Source organism: Homo sapiens, chromosome 10, assembly GCF_000001405.40.
Source record: "Homo sapiens chromosome 10, GRCh38.p14 Primary Assembly".
NCBI lineage: Eukaryota > Metazoa > Chordata > Mammalia > Primates > Hominidae > Homo > Homo sapiens.
The window spans coordinates 94,810,884-94,837,836 of record NC_000010.11 but is presented as its reverse complement, the minus strand read 5'-3'; the positions used below and the strand labels follow the sequence as shown (position 1 = coordinate 94,837,836).

Below are 26,953 nucleotides of genomic sequence, written 5' to 3'. Positions count from 1 at the left end.
GAAGCCACTAACCAGATGATCCAGCAGCAGGACTGAGGGTGCCTGGGGCAAGCCCCAGCCCATGCCATCACCCTCACAGAACCCCGGGTATGCTTGACCATTGAGGGCCAGGAGGTTAACTGTCTCCTGGACACTGGTGCAACCTTCTCAGTCTTACTCTCCTGTCTCGGACAACTGTCCTCCAGATCTGTCACTATCCAAGGGGTCCTAGGACAGCCAGTCACTAGATACTTCTCCCAGTCACTAAGCTGTGACTGAGGAACTTTACTCTTTTCACATGCTTTTCTAATTATGCCTGAAAGCCCCACTCCCCTGTTAGGGAGAGACATTCTAGCAAAACCAGGGGCCATTATACACCTGAACATAGGAGAAGGAACACCCATTGGTTGTCCCCTGCTTGAGGAAGGAATTAATCCTAAAGTCTAGGCAACAGAAGGACAATATGGATGAGCAAAGAATGCCTGTCCTGTTCAAGTTAAACTAAAGGACTCCACCTCCTTTCCCTACCAAAGGCAGCACCCCCTCAGACCCAAGGCCCAACAAGGACTCCAAAAGATTGTTAAGGACCTAAAAGCCCAAGGCCTAGTAAAACCATGCAATAGCCCCTGCAATACTCCAATTTTAGGAGTACAGAAACCCAATGGACAGTGGAGGTTAGTGAAATATCTAGGATTATCAGTGAGGCTGTTGTCCCTCTATACCCAGCTGTACCCAGCCCTTATACTCTGCTTTCCCAAATACCAGAGGAAGCAGAGTGGTTTACAGTCCTGGACCTTAAGGATGACTTTTTCTGCATCCCTGTACATCCTGACTCTCAATTCTTGTTTGCCTTTGAAGATCTTTGAAACCCAACATCTCAACTCACCTGGACTGTTTTACCCCAAGGGTTCAAGGATAGCCCCCATCTATTTGGCCAGGCATTAGCCCAAGACTTGAGTCAATTCTCATACCTGGACACTCTTGTCCTTCAGTACGTGGATGATTTACTTTTAGCTGCCTGTTCAGAAACCTTGTGCCATCAAGCCACCCAAGCGCTCTTAAATTTCCTCACTACCTGTGGCTACAAGATTTCCAAACCAAAGGCTCAGCTCTGCTCACAGCAGGTTAAATGCTTAGGGCTAAAATTATCCAAAGGCACCAGGGCCCTCAGTGAGGAACGTATCCAGCTTATTCTGGCTTATCCTCATCCCAAAACCATAAAGCAACTAAGAGGGTTCCTTGGCATAACAGGTTTCTGCTGAATGTGGATTCCCAGGTATGGTGAAATAGACAGACCATTATATACACTAATTAAGGAAACTCAGAAAGTCAATATCCATTTAGTAAGATGGACACCTGAAACAGAAGTGGCTTTCCAGGCCCTAAAGAAGTCTCTAACCCAAGACTCAGTGTTAAGCTTGCCAACAGGGCAAGACTTTTCTTTATATAACACAGAAAAAAAACAGGAATAGCTCTAGGAGTCCTTACACAGGTCCAAGGGATGAGCTTGCAACCCGTGGCATACCTGAGTAAGGAAACTGATGTAGTGGCAAAGGGTTGGCCTCATGGTTTACAGGTAGTGGCAGCAGTAGCAGGCTTAGTATCTGAAGAAGTTAAAAGAATACAAGGAAGAGATCTTACTGTGTGGGCATCCATGATGTGAATGGCATACTCACTGCTAAAGGAGACTTGTGGCTGTCAGACAACCACTTACTTAAATATCAGGCTCTATTACTTGAAGAGCCAGTGCTGCAACTGCGTGCTTGTGCAACTCTTAACTGAGCCACATTTCTTCCAAATAATAAAGAAAAGATAGAACATAACTGTCAACAAGTAATTGCTCAAACCTACACCACTCGAGGGGAACTTTTAGAGGTTCCCTTGACTGATCCTGACTTCAACTTGTACACTGATGGAAGTTCCGTTGTAGAAAAAGGACTTCAAAAAGCGAGGTACACAGTGGTCAGTGATAATGGAATACTTGAAAGTAATCTCCTCACACCAGGAACTAGTGCTCAGCTGGCAGAACTAATAGCCCTCACTCGGGCACTAGAATTAGGAAAAGGAAAAAGGGTAAATATATATATACAGATCTAAGTATGCTTACCTAGTCTTCCATGTCCATGAAGCAATATGGAGGGAAAGGAAATTCCTAACTTCCGAGGGAACATCTATCAAACCTCAGGAAGCCGTTAGGAGATTATTATTGGCTGTACAGAAACCTAAAGAGGTGGCAGTCTTACACTGCTGGGGTCATCAGAAAGGAAAGGAAAGGAAAATAGAAGGGAACCGCCAAGCAGATATTGAGGCCAAAAGAGCTGCAAGGCAGAACCCTCCATTAGAAATGCTTATAGAAGGACCCCTAGTATGGGGTAATCCCCTCCGGGAAACCAAGCCCCAATACTCAGCAGGAGAAATAGAATGGGTAACCTCATGAAGACATAGTTTTCTCCCCTCGGGATGGCTAGCCACCAAAAAAGGAAAATTACATTTGCCTGCAGCTAACCAATGGGAATTACTTAAAACCCTTCACCAAACCTTTCACTTAGGTATTGATAGCACCCATCAGATGGCCAAATTATTATTTACTGGACCAGGCCTTTTCAAAACTATCAAGCAGATAGTCAGGGCCTGTGAAGTGTGTCAAAGGCACTGCAGGCCATACATTTCAATCCCTGTATCTTTAACCTCCTTGTTAAGTGTGTCTCTTCCAGAATTGAAGCTGTAAAACTACAAATCATTCTTCAAATGGAGCCCCAGATGCAGTCCATGGCTAAGATCTACTGCAGACCCTTGGACCAGCCTGCTAGCTCATGCTCCAATGTTAATGACATTGAAGGCACCTCTCCCGAGGAAATCTCAACTGCACCACCCCTACTACACCCCAATTCAGCAGGAAGCAGCTAGAGCAGTCGTCGGCCAACCTCCCCAACAGCACTTGGGTTTTCATGTTGAGATGGGGGACTTAGAGACAGGACTAGCTGGATTTCCTAGCTGACTAAGAATCCCTAAGCCTACCTGGGAAGGTGACCACTTCCACCTTTAAACACGGGGCTTGCAACTTAGCTCACACATGACCAATCAGATAGTAAGGAGAGCTCACTAAAATGCTAATTAGGCAAAACAGGAGGTAAAGAAATAGCCAATCATCTGCTGCCTGAAAGCACAGTGGGAGGGACAATGATTGGGATATAAACCCAGGCATTTGAGCCAGCAATGGCAACCCCCTTTGGGTCCCCTCCCTTTGTATGGGAGCTCTGTTTCAGCCTATTAAATCTTGCAACTGCACAAAAAAAAAAAAGAAAAAAGAAAGAAAACCAAAATTAGTAGAACAAAAGAAATAATAAAGATCAGAGCAGAAATAAATGAAATTTAAATGAAGAAAACAAAACAAAATGTCAATGCAACAAAAAGTTGTTTCTTTGAGAAATTAAACAAAATTGACAAGTTTTTAGCCAGACTAAGAAAAAAAAGAAGTTTCAAATAAATAAAAACAAAAATAAAAAAGGAAGCAATACAACTGATACTGCAGAAATTCAAAGAATAATTAGTGGTTACTATGAGCAACTATATGCCAATAAATTGGAAAATCTAGAAGAAATGGACAAATCCTTAGACATATATGACCTATTGAGATTGAACCAGGAAGAAATCCAAAACCTGAACATGCAATGACCAGTACCAAGATCAAACCTGTAATAAAAATTATCCCAATAAGGAAAACCCCAAGACTTGATGGCTTCACTGCTGAATTTTACCAAACATTTAACAAAGAACTAATACCAACCCTACTCAAACTATTCCAAAAAATAAAGGAGAAGAGAATACTTCCAAACTCATTCTATGAAGCCAGTATTACCCTGATACCAAAATCAGACTAAGACACATCAAAAAAAGAAAACTACAGGCCAATACACCTGATGAATACTGATGCAACAATCCTCAACAAAATACTAGGAAACCACATTCAACAATACAATAGACAGATCATTCACAATGACCAAGTGGGATTTACCTCTGGGATGCAAGGATGGTTCAACATGTGGAAATCAAGCAGTGTGATACATCATATCAACAGAATGAAGGATAAAAACCATATGATCATTTCAGTTGATGCTGAAAAAGTATTTGATAAAATTCAACATCCCTTCATGATAAAAATTCATTAAAAACACTTGAGAATGATGATTTCCAATTTCATCCATGTTCCTACAAAGGACATGAACTCATCATTTTTTATGGCTGCATAGTATTCCATGGTGTATATGTGCCACATTTTCTTAATCCAGTCTATCATCGTTGGACATTTGGGTGCAGCGCACCAGCATGGCACATGTATACATATGTAACTAACCTGCACAATGTGCACATGTACCCTAAATCTTAAAGTATAATAAAAAAAAAGAAAAAAAAACACTTGAGATAGAAGGAACATACCTCAACATAAAAAAAGCTATATGACAGACCTACTACTAGTACCATACTGAGTGGGGAAAACTGAAAGCATTTTCTGTAAGATCATGAACATGACAAGGATGTCCACTATTGCCATTGTTATTCTTCATACTACTAGATGACCTAGCAAGAGCAATCAGGCAAGAGAAAGATATAAAGGCTATCCACATTAGAAAGGAATAAGTCAAAATATCCTTGTGTGCAGATGATATAACCTTATACTAGGAAAAACCTAAAGATTCCACAAGATAATTATTAGAACTGATGAACAAATTCTGTAAAGTTGAAGGATACAAACTCAACATAAAAATCAGTAGTGTTGATATATGCCAACAGTGAACAATGAGAAAAAGAAATTTAAAATGTAATCCCATTTAAAATAGCCATATATAAAATAAAATACCTAGGAATTAATTTAACCAAAGAACTGAAAGATCTCTGTAATGAAAACTATAAAGCACTGAGGAAAGAGTTTTAAGAGATCACAACAAATGGAAAAATATTTCATGTTCATGGATTGGAAAAATCAATATTATTAAAATGTCCATACTATCAAAACAATCCACAGATTCAATAAAATCCCCATCAAATTACAAATGACATTCTTCACAGAAATAGAAAAAAAATCTTTAAAATTGACATGGACCCACAAAAGACCCAGAATAGTCAAAACTATCATAAGCAAAAAAAACAAAACTGGAGGAATCACATTATCTCACTTAAAATTATACTACACAGCTATACTAACAAAAACAGCATGGTACTGACATAAAAACAGACACATAGACCAATGGAACAGAATAGTGAATCCAGAAACAATTTCACACACCTAGAGTGAACTCATTCTTGACAAAGGTGCTGACATGGTTTGGCTGTGTCCCCACCCCAAATCTCATCTTGAATTGTAATAATCCCCACACCCCAAGTACAAGGCCATGTGGGGATAATTGAAACATGGGGTGGTTTCCCCCATACTGTTGTCATGGTAGTGAATAAGTCTTACAAGATCTGATGGTTTTATAAATGGGACTTCCCCTGCAAAGATCTCTGTCTGCCACCATGTAAGATGTGACTTTTCTCCTCATTTGCCTTCCACCATGATTTTGAGGCATCCCCAGCCATGTGGAACTGTGAGTCCATTAAACATCTTCCCTTTATAAATTACCCGGTCTTGTGTATGGCTTTATTAGAAGCATAAGAACAGACTAACACAGGTACCAAGAACGTACACTGGGGGAAAGACCATCTCATCAATAGATTGTGCTGGGAAAATTTAATATCCTACACAGAGGGATGAATCTGGACTCATATATCTTGCCACATACAAAAATCAACTCAAAATGGATTAAAAACTTAAGTATGAGACCTCAAACTGTGAAAATACTATAGGAAAATACTAGAAAACATCTCCAGGACATTGGTCTAGGCAAAAATTTCTTGAGCAATACCCCACAAGCACAGGCATTCAAAGCAAACATGGACAAATGGGATCATATCAAGTTAAAAAGTTTCTGCACAGCAAAAGATACAATCAACAAAGGGAAGAGATAACCTACAGAATGGAGAAAAATATATGCAAACTACTCATCTGACAAGAGATTAATAACCAGAATATATAAGGAACTTAAGTAACTCTATAGAAAAAAATCTAATAATCAAGTCCACAAGTGGGCAAAAGATTTGAATAGACATTTCTCAAAAGAAGACATGTTAATTGTTAACAGACATACAAAAAGGTGGTCAACACCACTGATCATCAGAGAAATGTAAATCAAAACTACAATGAGATGTCACCTCACTCCAGTTAAAATGGCTTATATCCAAAAGACAGGCAATAACAAATGCTAGTGAGGATGTGGAGATAAGTGGACCCTTGTACAACGTTGGTGGGAATGTAAATTAGTATGACCACTATGGAGAGCTGTTTGAATGTTCCTCAAAAAACTAAAAATATATATTGTAAGTTTTTTAAAAAACTAAAAATAAAACTACCAACAACCCTACTACTGGGTATATACCCAAAAGAAAGGAAATAACTATATCAAAGAGACATCTGCACTCTTGTGTTTGTTGCAGCACTGTTTACAATGGCTAAGACTTTGAAACAACCTAAATATCCATCAACAGACAAATGTATAAAGAAAATGTAGTACATATACACAATGGAGTTCTATTCAGCCATAAAAAAAGAATGAGATTCAGTCATTTGCAACAACATGAATGAAATTGGAGAGCATTATGTTAAGTGAAATAAGCCAGGTACAGAAAAACAAACATAGCATGTTCTCACTTATTTGTGGGATCTAAAATAAAAAGAATTTAACTAATGGACATAAAGTGTAGAAGGATGGCTACCAGATACTTGAAAGGGAAGTGGGGGGTGAGAAGGGAAGTAGGGATGAATAAGACCTACTATTTGATAGCACAACAGTGTGACTATGGTCAATAATAACTTAATTGTATATTTTAAAATAACTGAAAGAGTGTAATTGAATTGTTTGTAACTCAATAAATGCTTGAGGGCACAGATACCCCATTCTCCATGACATGCTTATTTCACATTGCATGCCTGTATCAAAACATCTCCTGTACCCCACAAACATATTAATATATACCTACTCTGTACCCATAAATATAAAAAATAAAAAAGGAAAAAAGATAAATCTGTATGTACATATACGTTAGTATATATAAGTAATATAAATAAAAATAATGAAATGTGGGGAGGAGCAAAGATGGCTGAATAGGAACAGCTCTGGTCTACAGCTCCCAGCATGAGTGACGCAGAAGATGGGTGATTTCTGCATTTCCATCTGAGGTACCCGGTTCATCTCACTAGGGAGTGCCAGACAGTGGGCGCAGGTCAGTGGGTGCGTGCACCCTGCGGGAGCCGAAGCAGGGCGAGGCATTGCCTCACTTGGGAAGTGCAAGGGGTCAGGGAGTTCCCTTTCTGAGTCAAAGAAAGGGGTGACAGACGGCACCTGGAAAATCGGGTCACTCCCACCCGAATACTGCGCTTTTCCGATGGGCTTAAAAAACGGTGCACCACGAGATTATATCCCGCACCTGGCTCGGAGGGTCCTACGCCCACGGAGTCTCACTAATTGCTAGCACAGCAGTCTGAGATCAAACTGCAAGGTGGCAGCAAGGCTGGGGGAGGGGCGCCCGCCATTGCCCATGCTTGATTACGTAAACAAAGCAGCCAGGAAGCTGGAACTGGGTGGAGCCCACCACAGCTCAAGGAGGCCTGCCTGCCTCTGTAGGCTCCACCTCTGGGGGCAGGGCACAGACAAACAAAAAGACAGCAGTAACCTCTGCAGACTTAAATGTCCCTGTCTGACAGCTTTGAAGAGAGCAGTGGTTCTCCCAGCATGCAGCTGGAGATCTGAGAATGCGCAGACTGCCTCCTCAAGTGGGTCCCTGACCCCTGACCCCTGAGCAGCCTAACTGGGAGGCAATCCCCAGCAGGGGCACACTGACACCTCACACGGCAGGTTATTCCAACAGACCTGCAGCTGAGGGTCCTGTCTGTTAGAAGGAAAACTAACAAACAGAAAGGACATCCACACCAAAAACCCATCTGCACATCACCATCATCAAAGACCAAAAGTAGATAAAACCACAAAGATGGGGAAAAAACAGAACAGAAAAACTGGAAACTCTAAAAAGCAGAGCGCCTCTCCTCCTCCAAAGGAACGTAGTTCCTCACCAGCAACGGAACAAAGCTGGATGGAGAATGACTTTGATGAGCTGAGAGAAGAAGGCTTCAGACGATCAAATTACTCTGAGCTATGGAAGGACATTCAAACCAAAGGCAAAGAAGTTGAAAACTTTGAAAAAAATTTAGAAGAAGGTATAACTAGAATAACCAATACAGAGAAGTGCTTAAAGGAGCTTATGGAGCTGAAAACCAAGGCTCGAGAACTACGTGAAGAATGCAGAAGTCTCAGGAGCCAATGCGATCAACTGGAAGAAAGGGTATCAGCAATGGAAGATGAAATGTAGCGAGAAGGGAAGTTTAGAGTAAAAAGAATAAAAAGAAATGAGCAAAGCCTCCAAGAAATATGGGACTATGTGAAAAGACCAAATCTACTTCGGATTGGTGTACCTGAAAGTGATGGGGAGAATGGAAACAAGTTGGAAAACACTCTGCAGGATATTATCCAGGAGAACTTCCCCAATCTAGCACGGCAGGCCAACGTTCAGATTCAGGAAATACAGAGAACGCCACAAAGATACTCCTCAAGAAGAGCAACTCCAAGACACATAATTGTCAGTTTCACCAAAGTTGAAATGAAGGAAAAAATGTTAAGGGCAGCCAGAGAGAAAGGTCGGGTTACCCTCAAAGGGAAGCCCATCTGACTAACAGCAGATCTCTCGGCAGAAACTCTACAAGCCAGAAGAGAGTGGGGGCCAATATTCAACATTCTTAAAGAAAAGAATTTTCAACCCAGAATTTCATATCCAGCCAAACTAAGCTTCATAAGTGAAGGAGAAATAAAATCCTTTACAGACAAGCAAATGCTGAGAGATTTTGTCACCACCAGGCCTGCCTTACAAGAACTCCTGAAGGAAGCACTAATCATGGAAAGGAACAACCGGTACCAGCCGCTGCAAAATCATGCCAAAATGTAAAGACCATCGAGTCTAGGAAGAAACTGCATCAACTAACGAGCAAAATAACCAGCTAACATCATAATGACAGGATCAAATTCACACATAACAATATTAACTTTAAATGTAAATGGACTAAATGCTCCAATTAAAAGACACAGACTTGCAAATTGGATAAAGAGTCAAGACCCATCAGTGTGCTGTATTCAGGAAACCCATCTCACGTGCAGAGACACACATAGGCTCAAAATAAAAGGATGGAGGAAGATCTACCAAGCCAATGGAAAACAAAAAAAGGCAGGGGTTGCAATCCTAGTCTCTGATAAAACAGACTTTAAACCAACAAAGATCAAAAGAGACAAAGAAGGCCATTACATAATGGTAAAGGGATCAATTCAACAAGAAGAGCTAACTATGCTAAATATATATGCACCCAATACAGGAGCACCAAGATTCATAAAGCAAATCCTGAGTGACCTACAAAGAGACTTAGACTCCCACACATTAATAATGGGAGACTTTAACACCCCACTGTCAACATTAGACAGATCAACGAGACAGAAAGTCAACAAGGATACCCAGGAATTGAACTCAGGTCTGCACCAAGCGGACCTAATAGGCATCTACAGAACTCTCCACCCCAAATCAACAGAATATACATTTTTTCAGCACCACACCACACCTATTCCAAAATTGACCACATAGTTGGAAGTAAAGCTCTCCTCAGCAAATGTAAAAGAACAGAAATTATGGCAAACTGTCTCTCAGACCACAGTGCAATCAAACTAGAACTCGGGATTAAGAAACTCACTCAAAACCGCTCAACTACATGGAAACTGAACAACCTGCTCCTGAATGACTACTGGGTACATAACGAAATGAAGGCAGAAATAAAGATGTTCTTTGAAACCAACAAGAACAAAGACACAACATACCAGAATCTCTGGGATGCATTCAAAACAGTGTGTAGAGGGAAATTTATGGCACTAAATGCCCACAAGAGAAGGCAGGAAAGATCCAAAATAGACACCCTAACATCACAATTAAAAGAACTAGAAAAGCAAGAGCAAACACATTCAAATGCTAGCAGAAGGCAACAAATAACTAAAATCAAAGCAGAACTGAAGGAAAGAGACACACAAAAGACCCTTCAAAAAATTAATGAATCCAGGAGCTGGTTTTTTTGAAAGGATCAACAAAATTGATAGACCACTAGCAAGACTAATAAAGAAAAAGAGAGAGAAGAATCAAATAGACGCAATAAAAAACGATAAAGGGGATATCACCACCGATCCCACAGAAATACAAACTACCATCAGAGAATACTACAAACACCTCTATGCAAATAAACTAGAAAATCTAGAAGAAATGGATACATTCCTCGACACATACACTCTCCCAAGACTAAACCAGGAAGAAGTTGAATCTCTGAATAGACCAATAACAGGAGCTGAAATTGTGGCAATAATCAATAGCTTACCAACCAAAAAGAGTCCAGGACCAGACGGATTCACAGCCGAATTCTACCAGAGGTACAAGGAGGAACTGGTACCATTCCTTCTAAAACTATTCCAATCAATAGAAAAAGAGGGAATCCTCCCTAACTCATTTTATGAGGCCAGCATCATTCTGATACCAAAGCCGGGCAGAGACACAACCAAAAAAGAGAATTTTAGACCAATATCCTTGATGAACATTCATGCAAAAATCCTCAATAAAATACTGGCAAACCGAATCCAGCAGCACATCAAAAAGCTTATCCACCATGATCGAGTGGGCTTCATCCCTGGGATGCAAGGCTGGTTCAATATACGCAAATCAATAAATGTAATCCAGCATATAAACAGAACCAAAGACAAAAACCACATGATTATCTCAATACTACATGCAGAAAAGGCCTTTGACAAAATTCAACAGCCCTTCATGCTAAAAACTCTCAATAAATTAGGTATTGATGGGATGTATTTCAAAATAATAAGAGCTATCTATGACAAACCCACAGCCAACATCATACTGAATGGGCAAAAACTGGAAGCATTCCCTTTGAAAACTGGCACAAGACAGGGATGCCTTCTCTTGCCACTCCTATTCAACATAGTGTTGGAAGTTCTGGCCAGGGCAATTAGGCAGGAGAAGGAAATAAAGGGGATTCAATTAGGAAAAGAGGAAGTCAAATTGTCTCTGTTTACAGATGACATGATTGTATATCTAGAAAACCCCATCATCTCAGCCCAAAATCTCCTTAAGCTGATAAACAACTTCAGCAAAGTCTCAGGATACAAAATCAATGTACAAAAATCACAAGCATTCTTATACACCAACAATAGACAAACAGAGTGCCAAATCATGAGTGAACTACCATTCACAATTGCTTCAAAGAGAATAAAATACCTAGGAATCCAACTTACAAGGGATGTGAAGGACCTCTTCAAGGAGAACTACAAACCACTGATCAAGGAAATAAAAGAGGATACAAACAAATGGAAGAACATTCCATGCTCATGGGTCGGAAGAATCAATATTGTGAAAATGGCCATACTGCCCAAGGTAATTTACAGATTCAATGCCATCCCCATCAAGCTACCAATGACTTTCTTCACAGAATTGGAAAAAACTACTTTAAAGTTCATATGGAACCAAAAAAGAGCCCGCATCACCAAGTCATTCCTAAGCCAAAAGAACAAAGCTGGAGGCATCACACTACCTGACTTCAAACTATACTACAAGGCTACAGTAACCAAAACAGCATGGTACTGGTACCAAAACAGAGATATAGATCAATGGAACAGAACAGAGCCCTCAGAAATAACGCCACATATCTACAACTATCTGATCTTTGACAAACCTGAGAAAAACAAGCAATGGAGAAAGGATTCCCTATTTAATAAATGGTGCTGGGAAAGCTGGCTAGCCATATGTAGAAAGCTGAAACTGGATCCCTTCCTTACACCTTATACAAAAATCAATTCAAGATGGATTAAAGACTTAAACGTTAGACCTAAAACCATAAAAACCCTAGAAGAAAACCTAGGCATTACCATTCAGGACATAGGCATGGGCAAGGACTTCATGTCTAAAACACCAAAAGCAATGGCAACAAAAGACAAAATTGACAAATGGGATCTAATTAAACTAAAGAGCTTCTGCACAGCAAAAGAAACTACCATCAGAGTGAACAGGCAACCTACAAAATGGGAGAAAATTTTCACAACCTACTCATCTGACAAAGGGCTAATATCCAGAATCTACAATGAACTCAAACAAATTTACAAGAAAAAAACAAACAACCCCATCAAAAAGTGGGCAAAGGACATGAACAGACACTTCTCAAAAGAAGACATTTATGCAGTCAAAAAACACATGAAAAAATGCTCATCATCACTGGCCATCAGAGAAATGCAAATCAAAACCACAATGAGATACCATCTCACACCAGTTAGAATGGTGATCATTAAAAAGTCAGGAAACAACAGGTGCTGGAGAGGATGTGGAGAAATAGGAACACTTTTACACTGTTGGTGGGACTGTAAACTAGTTCAACCATTGTGGAAGTCAGTGTGGCGATTCCTCAGGGATCTAGAACTGGAAATACCATTTGACCCAGCCATCCCATTACTGAGTATATACCCAAAGGACTATAAATCATGCTGCTATAAAGACACATGCACACGTATGTTTATTGCGGCATTATTCACAATAGCAAAGACTTGGAACCAACCCAAATGTCCAACAATGATAGACTGGATTAAGAAAATGTGGCACATATACACCATGGAATACTATGCAGCCATAAAAAATGATGAGTTCATGTCCTTTGTAGGGACATGGATGAAATTGGAAATCATCATTCTCAGTAAACTATCACAAGAACAGAAAACCAAACACTGCATATTCTCACTCATAGGTGGGAATTGAACAATGAGATCACATTGACACAGGAAGGGGAATATCACACTCTGGGGACTGATGTGGGGTGGGGGGAGGGGGGAGGGATAGCATCGGGAGATATACCTAATGCTAGATGACGAGTTAGTGGGTGCCGTGCACCAGCATGGCACATGTGTACATATGTAACTAACCTGCACAATGTGCACATGTACCCTAAAACTTAAAGTATAATTAAAAAAATGAAATGTTTGAAAACATAAAGTAAGCATAAATTTAGTCATGAAATTACTGTCTTGGAAAAAAACAGGAATTAATTTTACATCAAAATAACACGTTTAAACATTAAGTTATGCTAACAGATTTACGCATATATATAACTGTGTATTTGTGCAGCTGTGCTTGTGTGTGTGAGAGTCTGCAATTTGCAATGGTATTCTCTTCATTCTCACACTTTCCAAATCTACCATTTTGAACATTCTAGCAGCTTCTTCTGAAAATACATTCACGTTTCTAAATAAAGACCTTGTTTCTATTTCTTACTTATCTTTTTGTAGATTATATTTAATAATTTTTTATTATGAGATGAAAATTTTAATCTCCATGTTCACCTCATATTTGAACACACCCTCAGATAGACACACTAATTTTTCCACACTGCTTTTTCCAGAATATATTTAGATGACAATTTTTATGATATCAGTATTCATTGCTTATATCATTCTGACTACATAAATATGGTTCTCTGGTAAGACAGCTATGATTATATTTTATTTTTAGCACTTTCTTAAACTTAACCACATCTCTTTATTTCTATTTGTAATTTTCTGTTTCCCAAGTTAGAAATACTTACAAATGTTCAGGCAGATGTTTGAAACTCCTTTTTAGTTATTGGAAACTCTCATAAAATCTGTCACATCTCTTGTTCTTGCTGTCTCATCTCACTTCTGAATTATCCACCAGGTTCATTCTGAAGTAGTTGTTTTCTAGGCCTGGTGCAAGGCAGCCTCCCTGACACTCTCATTGTCCTATATGAGGTCTGATTGCTGGAGCTCAGGACTTTCTATAACTAGGCTTCAGGCATTTGAATTAAGCACATTCTCCAATATTTTTCTGAGAAAGGGACAATAGAAGGTAAAATTTTGGCAAATGTGCAAGTCTGAAAACACACTATTTCTATTAATATGCTAAATAATATTAATAGTTCCTCTTGAGAATTCTGAATCCTAATTCTTTCAATATGACCTGGTATAGCTCTGAAAGTTTTTGTGATTTTCCCTTTAATTCTGGTGTCCTGAAATTCCATGACCCTGTGTCTAGCAGAGTATGTTTTCATTTCATTCACTCTGTTAGACATTGAAGATAATTTTCTGTTAAGATGGCAAAAGAAAAATGTCATTTCTCTAGATCAGTTCCCTTTCTGTAGGATAACGCTAGCTGCTGAATTTTAGGAAGCAAGATGAATAAAAGAGCTTTAAGTCTCTGAATTGAAGGTGTGGACCCTTACCAAATCTGCCTTTCTAGCCTACACCTCATGTCTTTTCTGGCACTGCCCTTTGTCCCTGAGTATGGGGCTTCTTAAACTCAGTTTCTCTAGAGAGTAAGCCTCCTTTTTCTTGTGGGAGAAAATTAGTTACTTGATGAAAAGAGTTGTGTAGGAAACCTAGGCAGAGAGAGCCTCGTTTTTCAACCTCATTCTCTACCATATTTGACCCTTGGCACTTCCAAATACTAATATTGAGGGGACTTAAGGGACACTGATTAATTTTTCTCCTTGATAAATTTTCCTCTTCTGACTTTTTGGTTACAAGTTTATCCTCTCTGTACTGATTTATTATTCCTCCATTTGCTCTCTGTGTTTTAGAAATTTGTTAAAGCTTTATTGACTATTGCCTGTACTCTACATAGCTTAAAGGGCTCAAACAGCTAATATCCCAAATCTATAAAAAACTAAAACAAATTAACAAGCAAAAAACAAAAAAAAAATTAGAAATGGTGAAAGGACATGAACAGACACTTCTCAAAAGATGACATACAAGCAGCCAACAAACATATGAAAAAATGTTCAACATCACTAATCATCAGAGAAATCCAAATCAAAATCACAAGGAGGTACCATCTCACACCAGTCAGAATGGCAATTATTAATATTAAAAAGTCCAAAAACAAGAGATGCTGGTGAGGTTGCAGACAAAAGAAAATGCTTTTACACTGCTGGTGGGTATGCAAACTAGTTCAGTCACTGTGGAAAGCAGTTTGGATATTTCTGAAAGAAATTAAAATAGAACTTTAGTTGACCCAGCAATCCAACTATTGAGTATATGCCCCCCCAAAAAAATTCATTCTATCAAAAAGACACACACACCAATATGTTCACTGTAGTGCTATTCACAATAGCAAAAAAATGGAATCAACTTAAGTGCCCATCAACAGTAGACTGTATAAGGAAAATGTGGTAAATATACACTGATATGTTTAGACTGTGTCCCCACTCAAATCTCATCTTGGACTTTGGCTCCCATAATTCCCACATGTCATGGGAGGGACTCAATGGGACATAATTTAATCATGGGGGCAGGGTGTTCCCATGCTGTTCTTGTGATAGTAAATAAGTCTTGCTATCAGAGACTTATTGTGAGGCCTTTCCAGTCATGTGGAATTGACAGTCCATTAAACCTCTTTCCTTTATGAATTACCCAGCCTCAGGTATGTCTTTATTAGCAGCATGAGAACAGACTAGTATATACACCATGGAATACTATGCAGCCATAAAAAAGAACAAAAATCATGTCTTTTGCAGCACTATAGATGAAGCAGGAGGCCATTATCCTAAGCAATCTAATACAAGAACAGAAAACCAAATACCACCTGTTCTCACTTATAAATGGGAAGTAAACATTGAATACACATGAACCTAAAGATGGGAACAATAGACACTGAGGATCACTATATAGGGGAGGGAGAGAAGGGATGTGGGTTGGAGAACCATCTGTTGGGTACTATGCTTACTGCCAGGGTGATGAAATAGTTGGGACCCCGAGACTCAGTGTTACACAATTTACCCATGTAACAAATCTGTATTTTTACCCTTTAATCTATAAAAAAAAGTTGAAAAAATCTTCTAGAACGTTATAGGTTAGTAATTGTTCAAAAAAAGGCCTAACTCTTATTTGTAATTAGGTTATTGTCATTAAATGGGGGATACTGACACAGGGGAAAAAAGAATATTTATTATCTGCAGCATAACCGAAAGTCTTTAAAATTTCTAAAGTAAAGTTGTTCATAAAAGATAAAATTATTGGCCCCCCCAAAAATATTCTTATTTTATCCAACACCAATTTCACAGAAACTGTCTCAGGTACATCTTCTGCCTAAATGGAACATTCTTTAGGTACCTCTTTTAGTAAACAGAATCAACTTTCTCATGAATCTAACTTTTTAGAATACTTATCAGACTAGGAATTTTTTCAGGCAGCCTCACTACATTTCTAGGATTACCATTTATCCTTCAATAAGAAGAGTTTCCATTTTCCCTACTCCAGCATTTGAACCTGAAGTTTTGAGAATGAGAAAAATTATCTTTAACAATACACTTGCTGTTCAAAATGGCCTTTTAATAATAAAACCAACATGCAATCCCAGGCCAACTTATGTTGTCTCTTCCTGCCATAAGTCACTGTCGATGAAATCCAGACACACTGGGCCAGAGCTCTATTGCTTTTGAAACTGCCATGCTGTCTTCATTTCTCTCAGTTATCTTCCTCTACTGTGCAAAGATGTCCTTTTTTTCTTTTCTTTTCTTTTCCTTTTTTTTCTTTTCTGAGACAGGGTCCCACTCTGTCACCCAGGCTAGAGTGCAATGGCACAATCTTGGCTCACTGCAACCTCCACCACCCGGGTTCAAGCGATTCCCATGCCTCAGCCCCCAAGTAGCTGGGATTACAGTGGTGTGCCACAATGCCCGGCTACGTTTTGTATTTTTAGTAGAGATGGGGCTTGGCCATATTGGCCAGGCTGGTCTTGAACTCCTAGCCTCAATGGTCCACCCACCTAGGCCTCCCAAAGGGCTGGGATTACAATCATGAGCCACTGCACCAGGCCAGGATATTCCATTTTAATCACACCATTAAATTGGGACAGATTACAGCTGCGGGCACAGAAATTTAAATAATGGAACTTCTCTAAGAGAAACAGAAAGGAGAACACTAGCAGCACCTTCCCAACATCTTTCCTAAAACTCAATTAACTCATCCTCTGTGATCATACCTGTGACCTCTGGGTGCTTCAGCAGGAGAAGGAGAGCATATCTCAGGGTTGTGCTTGTTGTCTCTGTCCCAGCTCCAAGTAAGTCAGCTGCAGTGATTACCAAGTTTTCAATAGTGAATTCAGACTGTTGGTTTTGCTTTTCCTAGGAATGATTTGATGCAATTATCTGACAAATTATTTAACAGCATATTTGATGACAGTAAATTCAAAATTACTCACATTGTATACTTACCAACATAGAAACTGTAAAGTATAGTACTAGAAAAAAATATTGAATAGGAGCGGTGAGAGAGGGCATCCCTGTCTTGTGCCAGTTTTCAAAGGGAATGCTTCCAGTTTTTGCCCATTCAGTATGATATTGGCTGTGGGTTTGTCATAGATAGCTCTTATTATTTTGAAATACATCCCATCAATACCTAATTTATTGAGAGTTTTTAGCATGAAGGGTTGTTGAATTTTGTCAAGGGCTTTTTCTGCATCTATTGAGATAATGATGTGGTTTTTGTCTTTGGCTCTGTTTATATGCTGGATTACATTTATTGATTTGCATATATTGAACCAGCCTTGCATCCCAGGGATGAAGCCCACTTGATCATGGTGGATAAGCTTTTTGATGTGCTGCTGGATTCGGTTTGCCAGTATTTTATTGAGGATTTTTGCATGAATGTTCATCAAGGATATTGGTCTAAAATTCTCTTTTTTGGTTGTGTCTCTGCCCGGCTTTGGTATCAGAATGATGCTGGCCTCATAAAATGAGTTAGGGAGGATTCCCTCTTTTTCTATTGATTGGAATAGTTTCAGAAGGAATGGTACCAGTTCCTCCTTGTACCTCTGGTAGAATTCGGCTGTGAATCCATCTGGTCCCGGACTCTTTTTGGTTGGTAAACTATTGATTATTGCCACAATTTCAGCTCCTGTTATTGGTCTATTCAGAGATTCAACTTCTTCCTGGTTTAGTCTTGGGAGAGTGTATGTGTCGAGGAATGTATCCATTTCTTCTAGATTTTCTAGTTTATTTGTGTAGAGGTGTTTGTAGTATTCTCTGATGGTAGTTTGTATTTCTGTGGGATCAGTGGTGATATCCCCTTTATCATTTTTTATTGTGTCTATTTGATTCTTCTCTCTTTTTTTCTTTATTAGTCTTGCTAGTGGTCTATCAATTTTGTTGATCCTTTCAAAAAACCAGCTCCTGGATTCATTGATTTTTTGAAGGGTTTTTTGTGTCTCTATTTCCTTCAGTTCTGCTCTGATTTTAGTTATTTCTTGCCTTCTGCTAGCTTTTGAATGTGTTTGCTCTTGCTTTTCTAGTTCTTTTAATTGTGATGTTAGGGTGTCAATTTTGGATCTTTCCTGCTTTCTCTTGTGGGCATTTAGTGCTATAAATTTCCCTCTACACACTGCTTTGAATGCGTCCCAGAGATTCTGGTATGTTGTGTCTTTGTTCTCGTTGGTTTCAAAGAACATCTTTATTTCTGCCTTCATTTCGTTATATACCCAGTAGTCATTCAGGAGCAGGTTGTTCAGTTTCCATGTAGTTGAGCAGTTTTGAGTGAGATTCTTAATCCTGAGTTCTAGTTTGATTGCACTGTGGTCTGAGAGATAGTTTGTTATAATTTCTGTTCTTTTACATTTGCTGAGGAGAGCTTTACTTCCAACTATGTGGTCAATTTTGGAATAGGTGTGGTGTGGTGCTGAAAAAAATGTATATTCTGTTGATTTGGAAGTTCTGGCCAGGGCAATCAGGCAGGAGAAGGAAATAAAGGGGATTCAATTAGGAAAAGAGGAAGTCAAATTGTCCCTGTTTGCAGACGACATGATTGTTTATCTAGAAAACCCCATCGTCTCAGCCCAAAATCTCCTTAAGCTGATAAGCAACTTCAGCAAAGTCTCAGGATACAAAATCAATGTACAAAAATCACAAGCATTCTTATACACCAACAACAGACAAACAGAGAGCCGAATCATGAGTGAACTCCCATTCACAATTGCTTCAAAGAGAATAAAATACCTAGGAATCCAACTTACAAGGGATGTGAAGGACCTCTTCAAGGAGAACTACAAACCACTGCTCAAGGAAATAAAAGAGGATACAAACAAATGGAAGAACATTCCATGCTCATGGGTAGGAAGAATCAATATTGTGAAAATGGCCATACTGCCCAAGGTAATTTACAGATTCAATGCCATCTCCATCAAGCTACCAATGACTTTCTTCACAGAATTGGAGAAAACTACTTTAAAGTTCATATGGAACCAAAAAAGAGCCCGCATCATCAAGTCAATCCTAAGCCAAAAGAACAAAGCTGGAGGCATCACACTACCTGACTTCAAACTATACTACAAGGCTACAGTAACCAAAACAGCATGGTACTGGTACCAAAACAGAGATATAGATCAATGGAACAGAACAGAGCCCTCAGAAATAACGCCGCATACCTACAACTATCTGATCTTTGACAAACCTGAGAAAAACAAGCAATGGGGAAAGGATTCCCTATTTAATAAATGGTGCTGGGAAAACTGGCTAGCCATATGTAGAAAGCTGAAACTGGATCCCTTCCTTACACCTTATACAAAAATCAATTCAAGATGGATTAAAGATTTTTTTTTTTTTTTTTTTTTTTTGAGATGGAGTCTCACTCTGTCGCCCAGGCTGGAGTGCAGTGGCGGGATCTCGGCTCACTGCAAGCTCCGCCTCCCGGGTTCACGCCATTCTCCTGCCTCAGCCTCCCAAGTAGCTGGGACTACAGGTGCCCGCCACTACGCCCGGCTAATTTTTTGTATTTTTAGTAGAGACGGGGTTTCACCGTTTTAGCCAGGATGGTCTCGATCTCCTGACCTCGTGATCCGCCCGCCTCGGCCTCCCAAAGTGCCGGGATTACAGGTGTGAGCCACCGCACCCGGCCAAAGATTTAAACGTTAGACCTAAAACCATAAAAACCCTAGAAGAAAACCTAGGCATTACCATTCAGGACATAGGCATGGGCAAGAACTTCATGTCCAAAACACCAAAAGCAATGGCAACAAAAGACAAAATTGACAAATGGGATCTAATTAAACTAAAGAGCTTCTGCACAGCAAAAGAAACTACCATCAGAGTGAACAGGCAACCTACAACATGGGAGAAAATTTTCGCAACCTACTCATCTGACAAAGGGCTAATATCCAGAATCTACAATGAACTCAAACAAATTTACAAGAAAAAAACAAACAACCCCATCAAAAAGTGGGCAAAGGACATGAACAGACACTTCTCAAAAGAAGACATTTATGCAGCCAAAAAACACATGAAAAAATGCTCATCATCACTGGCCATCAGAGAAATACAAATCAAAACCACAATGAGATATCATCTCACACCAGTTAGAATGGCAATCATTAAAAAGTCAGGAAACAACAGGTGCTGGAGAGGATGTGGAGAAATGGGAACACTTTTACACTGTTGGTGGGACTGTAAACTAGTTCAACCATTGTGGAAGTCAGTGTGGCGATTCCTCAGGGATCTAGAATTAGAAATACCATTTGACCCAGCCATCCCATTACTGGGTATATACCCAAAGGACTATAAATCATGCTGCTATAAAGACACATGCACACGTATGTTTATTGCGGCATTATTCACAATAGCAAAGACTTGGAACCAACCCAAATGTCCAACAATGATAGACTGGATTAAGAAAATGTGGCACATATACACCATGGAATACTATGCAGCCATAAAAAATGATGAGTTCATATCCTTTGTAGGGACATGGATGAAATTGGAAATCATCATTCTCAGTAAACTATCACAAGAACAAAAAACCAAACACCGTATATTCTCACTCATAGGTGGGAATTGAACAATGAGATCACATGGACACATGAAGGGGAATACCACACTCTGGGGACTGATGTGGGGTGGGGGGAGGGGGGAGGGATAGCATTGGGAGATATACCTAAGGCTAGATGACGAGTTAGTGGGTGCAGCGCACCAGGATGGCACATGTATACATATGTAACTAACCTGCACAATGTGCACATGTACCCTAAAACTTAAAGTATAATAAAAAAAAAAAGAAAGAGACTACATTTTCCTTATGTTTTTGTAAAAATTAAAAAAATAAATAAGTAGTACAAAGACTGTTAAACAAAAGAGAATTTAAAACAGCATGGAGTTATAAATAGCCTGCTGTTTGGTATAGTTTGTTAATCTGTTACCACTTATATTTTCTCTAACAGCTCTCTAATTAGCACTCACTTTTGATACTACTGTTCCTAAAATGTTTATGTTGGAAGTTACAAATGACTGTCTAATTATACCGGCTACTTTGTTTTGCATAAACAATAAATAAAATCCCACTTATGCCATAAAAATAAAAAAAATAAAAATAAAAATAAAGAAAAAAAAAAAGAAAGAAAAAATACTGTATGGTGTAGTGGATGCTGTAGACCAACTGGCCCAAACTTTATTTCCTACCCCCTTATTCCATGCTTGCTTAAAAATTCCATTTGTCAGACTCTGCAGTTAGCTGACTCACACAGCATATTTTTTGGCAAAAAAAATATATAAGCAGAAGATCTCTAGATCCACTTCTTCTATTTCCTCTTTCATTCTCAAAACACAAATGAGAAGACATAAAGACATTTTCTGTTAAAGTTACTATTACCTGTAGACAACCACAACTTAAATTAATAAAAATAGGAAAATTAGGGCCATATCATTAGATACTATGAGCCTGAAACAAGAGTCTGCAATTATCTTCTTCTGTCAGAAAGGTACATGGACTCAATATTGCCTGCAGATTCATTATAAAGTTGAAATTGTATAAAAACAGATATGAAAAAAGCAACATGACAGTAAAACCTAGAATAAATTATAGAGAAAGAGAATGAGTTTACAATGACAAGATGGGCCCACAGTATTGTAATCTATATGGGAGGCAACAGACAACTTTTTCTAGAATGCAAGTAGTGCAGGAATAAATAAAAATATACAAAGTGAAGAGAAAGGAGAATGATGAAGATGGAGAATAAGGACATTAATTGCCCACAGGGAATAAAAGAGAGAGTAAGGGTAAGGCATATGCCAAGACTCAGAGACTGGAGTTCTCAAAATTTGGAAGTTCAGAGAGTGGAAGCAATGGATGAGGAATACTTAGTTTGAATTAGGGCTGGGGTGTTGATGTGATGCAGAATTGACAACAATAAGGGGAAAGTTTTGAATACTGAGTACAAGAGATCATCAATATACAAAAACATATTACTTTCTAACAAGTCCCTAGGCCAGCAATAAATTAATTATGCTTTTAGAGTCTCCAAGTGACCTGTGTCATGTTAAACATTGTGTAGTTAACACCACTGAAATAGACTAGATTCTCTCAACATGTGTAGACAAAGACAGTCCTCTCCCTTGGTAACATCAGCTTCACACAGTTTTCTAAGCTTGCCATGTTGAAAATTACTCTTAAGTAAGAAGAACAGTGCAGTCACAAACCAGTATTAACATTTCCATCTCTTGACTTGAGCTTGGTTACTTAGCATTAATAAGGTAGTATATCCTATCTTATTAATGATAGTAGCCATATTCTACTTGCTGGGCTCAAATCTAAAGAGCACCCCTTCTACATCAGAGGCAGGCCACGGCATTTTCCTGCACCTCACCCTCAGAAACAGATTCACAGCCACAACTCAGTCTGTGGGCTTCAGCTGCTAAGGTGTGCTAGAGTCATAGACCTTGGTTCTGTGGGTAATCTACATTCAACACTGCCACAGAGAGTGAACCTGCACCGCAAGACCCAGGTGTCACAATACATGATTAAAAGACCCTGAGTCTAGAATGATGCTTCTATGACAACTTCAAGGATCTGTACTTGTAACCCAGCACCAATGCCGCTGAGTTAATGCCATGTCAGAGATGACACCAAAAGGAATCCCTTAGGCTAAGTCACCCCAATTTTAGGAAAATAAAAATAGGAGGACGCCCAAATACTTTGACACTAAGGACATTAACAACCTACACTGCTCCTGATACTGCTGCAAACTTCTACAACCTAGGCCACTGAGGCACCCAAAATTATTGCTGATATTGGCCATAGCTAGAGAAACTACACAGATACTATCACAATGCATCTATCAAAAACTGAGTTACCCACTCTTCGTCACCTGCACACAAACACTCAACTTCAGATAAAAGTCTTTCTCTATGAAATTCACTCTAGAGATTTTGGAATAGCAATTGTTCCATCACATGCATAGACATAAATTCAGGGACACAACATGAAAAATAAAGAAATATGGCACCACCAAAGGGACATAATAACTCTCAAATAACAGACCTCAATGAAAAAAATTCACAAATATTCAAAAAAGGAATTCAAAATAATTACCTTAAAGAAACTCAATCAGGAGGGTGGCTGGCAAGATGACTGAATAAGAAAAGCTCCAGTCAGCAGCTCCCAGCGAGATCAATGAAGAAGGTAGGTGATTTCTGCATTTCCAACTGAGGTACCTGGCTCATCTCACTGGGAATGTTTAGACAGTAGGTGCAGTGCATGGAGGCTAAACTGAAGCAGGGAGGAATGTTGTCTCACCTTGGAAGCCCAAGGGATTGGTGAACTCCCTCCCATAGCCAAGGAAAGCCTTGAGGGAATGTGCTGTGAAGAACGGTGCACTCTGGCCCAAATACTGCAGTTTTTCCATGGTCTTCACAACCCACAGACCAGAAGATTCCCTTCAGAGCCTACACCACCAGGGCCCTGGGTTTCAAGCACAAAACTGGGTGGTCATCTGGGCAGACACCAAGATAGCTGGAGGGGTTTTTTTTATGCCCCAGTGGTGCTGTAACACCAGCAAGTCAGAACCATTCAGTCCCCTGGAAAGAGGACTGAAGCCAGGGAGCCAAGAGATCTAGCTCAGGGGATCTCACCCCCATGGAGCCCAGCAAGCTAAGATCCACTGGCTTGAACTTCTGTTTGCCAGCACAGCAGTCTGAAGTTGACTGGGGATGTTCGAGCTTGGGGGGGGTGTTGAGGGGAGTCTGCCATTGTTGAGGCTTGAGTAGGTGGTTTTCCCCTCACAGTGTAAACAAAGCCTCCAGGAAGCTAGGACTAGGTGGAGTCCACTTCAGCTCCGCAAAGCCACTGTAGCCATACTGCCCCTCTAGATTCCTACTCTCTGAGCAGTTGCATCTGTGAAAGACAGGCAACAGTCCCAGTCAGGGGCTTATAGATAAAACTCCCATCTCACTGTACTGAGAACCTGGAAGAAGGGGTGGCAGTGGGTGCAGCTTCGGCAGACTTAAATGTTCCTGCCTGCTGGCTCTAAAGAGAACAGCAGACCTCCCAGCAGGGGTCAACAGACACCTCATACAAAAGAGCTTTGGCTGGTATCTGGCAAGTGTCCCTCTAGGACGAAGCTTCCAGAGGAATAAACACACAGCAATCTTTGCTGTTCTGTGGCCTCCTCTGGTGATACCCAGTCAAACAAGGTTTGGAGTGGACCTCAAGCAAACTCCAGCAGACCTGCAGCAGAAGGGCCTGACTGTTAGGAAAAAAACTAGCAAACAGAAAGGAATAGCATCAACATCAACAAAAAGGATGTCCACGCAAAAAACCCATTCAAAGGTCACCAACATCAAAGACAAGAGGTAGATAAATCCACAAATATGAGAAAAAAAAAACAGCACAAAAAGGCTGAAAATTTCAAAAACCAGAACATCTCTTCTCCTCCAAAGGATCACAACTCCTTGCCAGCAAGGGGACAAAACTGGACAGAGAAAGAATTTGATGAATTGACAGAAGTAGGCTTCAGAAGGTGTGTAATAACAAACTCCACTGAGCTAAAGGAGCATGTTCTAACCCATTGCAAAGAAGCTAAGAACCTTGAAAAAATGTTAGACGAATTGCTAACTAGAGAAGAACATGAGTGACCTGATGGAGCTGAAGAACACAGAATGAGAACTTTGTGAAGCATAAATAAATATCAATAGCCAAATTGATAAAGCAGAAGAAAGGATATCAGAGATTCAAGATCAACTTAATGAAATAAAATGTGAAGAAAAAAGTTAAAAAATAAGAATAAAAAGAAATGAACATAGCCTCCAAGAAATGTGGTGCTATGTGAAAAGACCAAATCTACGTTTGATTGGTGTACCTGAAAGTGATGGGGAGAATGGAACCAAGTTGTAAAACATTCTTCAGGATATTATCCAGGAGAACTTCCACAATCTAGCAAGACAGACCAACATTCAAATTCAGGAAATACAGAAAACACCCACAATGATACTCCTCAAGAAGGGCAACCCCAAGACACATAATTGTCAGATTCACCAAGGTTAAAAGAAAGGAAAAATGTTAAGGGAAGCCAGAAAGAAAGGTCGGGTTACCACCAAGGGAAGCCTGTCAGACTAACAGCATATCTCTCTGGAGAAGCTCGACAAGCCAGAGGAGAGTGGGGGCCAATATTCAACATTCTTAAAGAAAAGAATTTTCAACCCAGAATTTCATATCCAGCTAAATTAAGCTTCATAGGCAAAGGAGAAATAACATCCTTTACAGACAAGCAAATGCTGAGGGATTTTGTCATCACCAAGCCTGCCTTACAAGAGCTCCTGAAGGAAACACTAAATATGGAAAGGATCAACTGGGAACAGCCACTGCAAAAACATACTAAATTTTGTAAAGACCATCAACACTATAAAAAAACTGCATCAACTAAAAGGCAAAATAATCAGCTAGCATCATAATGGCAGGATTAAATCCACACACAATATTAACCTTAAATGTAAACAGGCTAAATGCCCCAATTAAAAGACACAGACTGGCAAATTGGATAGAGTCAAGACCCATCAATGTGCTGTATTCAGGAGACCTATCTCACGTGAAAAGACACACATAGGCTCAAAATAAAGGGATGGAGGAATATTTACCAAGCAAATGGAAAGCAAAACAAAGCAGGGGTTGCAATCCTAGTCTCTGATAAAACACACTTTAAACCAACAAAGATTAAAAAAAGGGGTGGTATCATATAATGTTAAGGGGATCAATGCAACGAGAAGAGCTAACTATCCTAAATAGATACACACCCAATACAGGAGCACCCAGATTCATAAAGGAAGTTCTTAAAGACCTACAAAGAGGCTTAGGCTCCCACACAATAATAGATGGAGGCTTTAACACCCCACTGTCAATATTAGACAGATCAATGAGACAGAAATTTAACAAGGATCTCCAGGACTTGAACTAAGCTCTGGACCAAGCGGGCATAATAGATATCTAAAGAACTCTCCACCCTAAATCAACAGAATATACATTCTTCTCAGCACCACTTCACACTTATTCTAAAATTGACCACATAATTGGAAGTAAAACACCCATCAGCAAATACAAAAGAACAGAAATTAAAGCAAACAACCTATTAGACCACAGTGCCATCAAATTAAAACTCGGGATTAAGAAACTCACTCAAAACTGCACAACTACATGGAAACTGAACAACCTGCTCTGAATGACTACTGGGTAAATAACAAAATGAAGGCAAAATAAAGATGTTCTTTGAAACCAATGAGAACAAGGACACAGTGTACCAGAATCTCCAAGACACAGCTAAAGCAGTGTTTAGAGGGAAAATTATAGCACTAAATGTCCAGAGGAGAAAGCAGGAAAGATCTAAAATCAACACCCTAACATCACATTTAAAAGAACTAGAAAACCAAGAGCAAACAAATTCAAACCTAGCAGAAGACAAAAAATAACTAATATCAGAGCAGAATTGA

At 39.5% G+C, this 26,953-nt stretch overlaps 1 protein-coding gene across 1 annotated transcript in view, besides 1 other annotated feature; it reads right to left on the bottom strand.

Annotated features, from left to right (window-relative positions):
- The window catches only part of CYP2C19 (cytochrome P450 family 2 subfamily C member 19), a 92,867-nt gene that overhangs the window by 17,711 nt on the left and 48,203 nt on the right, over positions 1 to 26,953 (bottom strand). Inside the window, exon 6 of the mRNA NM_000769.4 lies at positions 17,200 to 17,341. Within this exon, the coding sequence (NP_000760.1) occupies positions 17,200 to 17,341 (142 nt within the window). The remainder of the gene's footprint in view (positions 1 to 17,199; positions 17,342 to 26,953) is intronic.
- Positions 6,853 to 7,451: an enhancer, noted in NCBI's record as "H3K27ac-H3K4me1 hESC enhancer chr10:96590143-96590741 (GRCh37/hg19 assembly coordinates)". NCBI's record gives its function as "activates a minimal SCP1, AML or CMV promoter by ChIP-STARR-seq in primed H9 embryonic stem cells {active_cell/tissue: H9 hESC(primed)}" and the evidence as "EXISTENCE:reporter gene assay evidence [ECO:0000049][PMID:30033119]".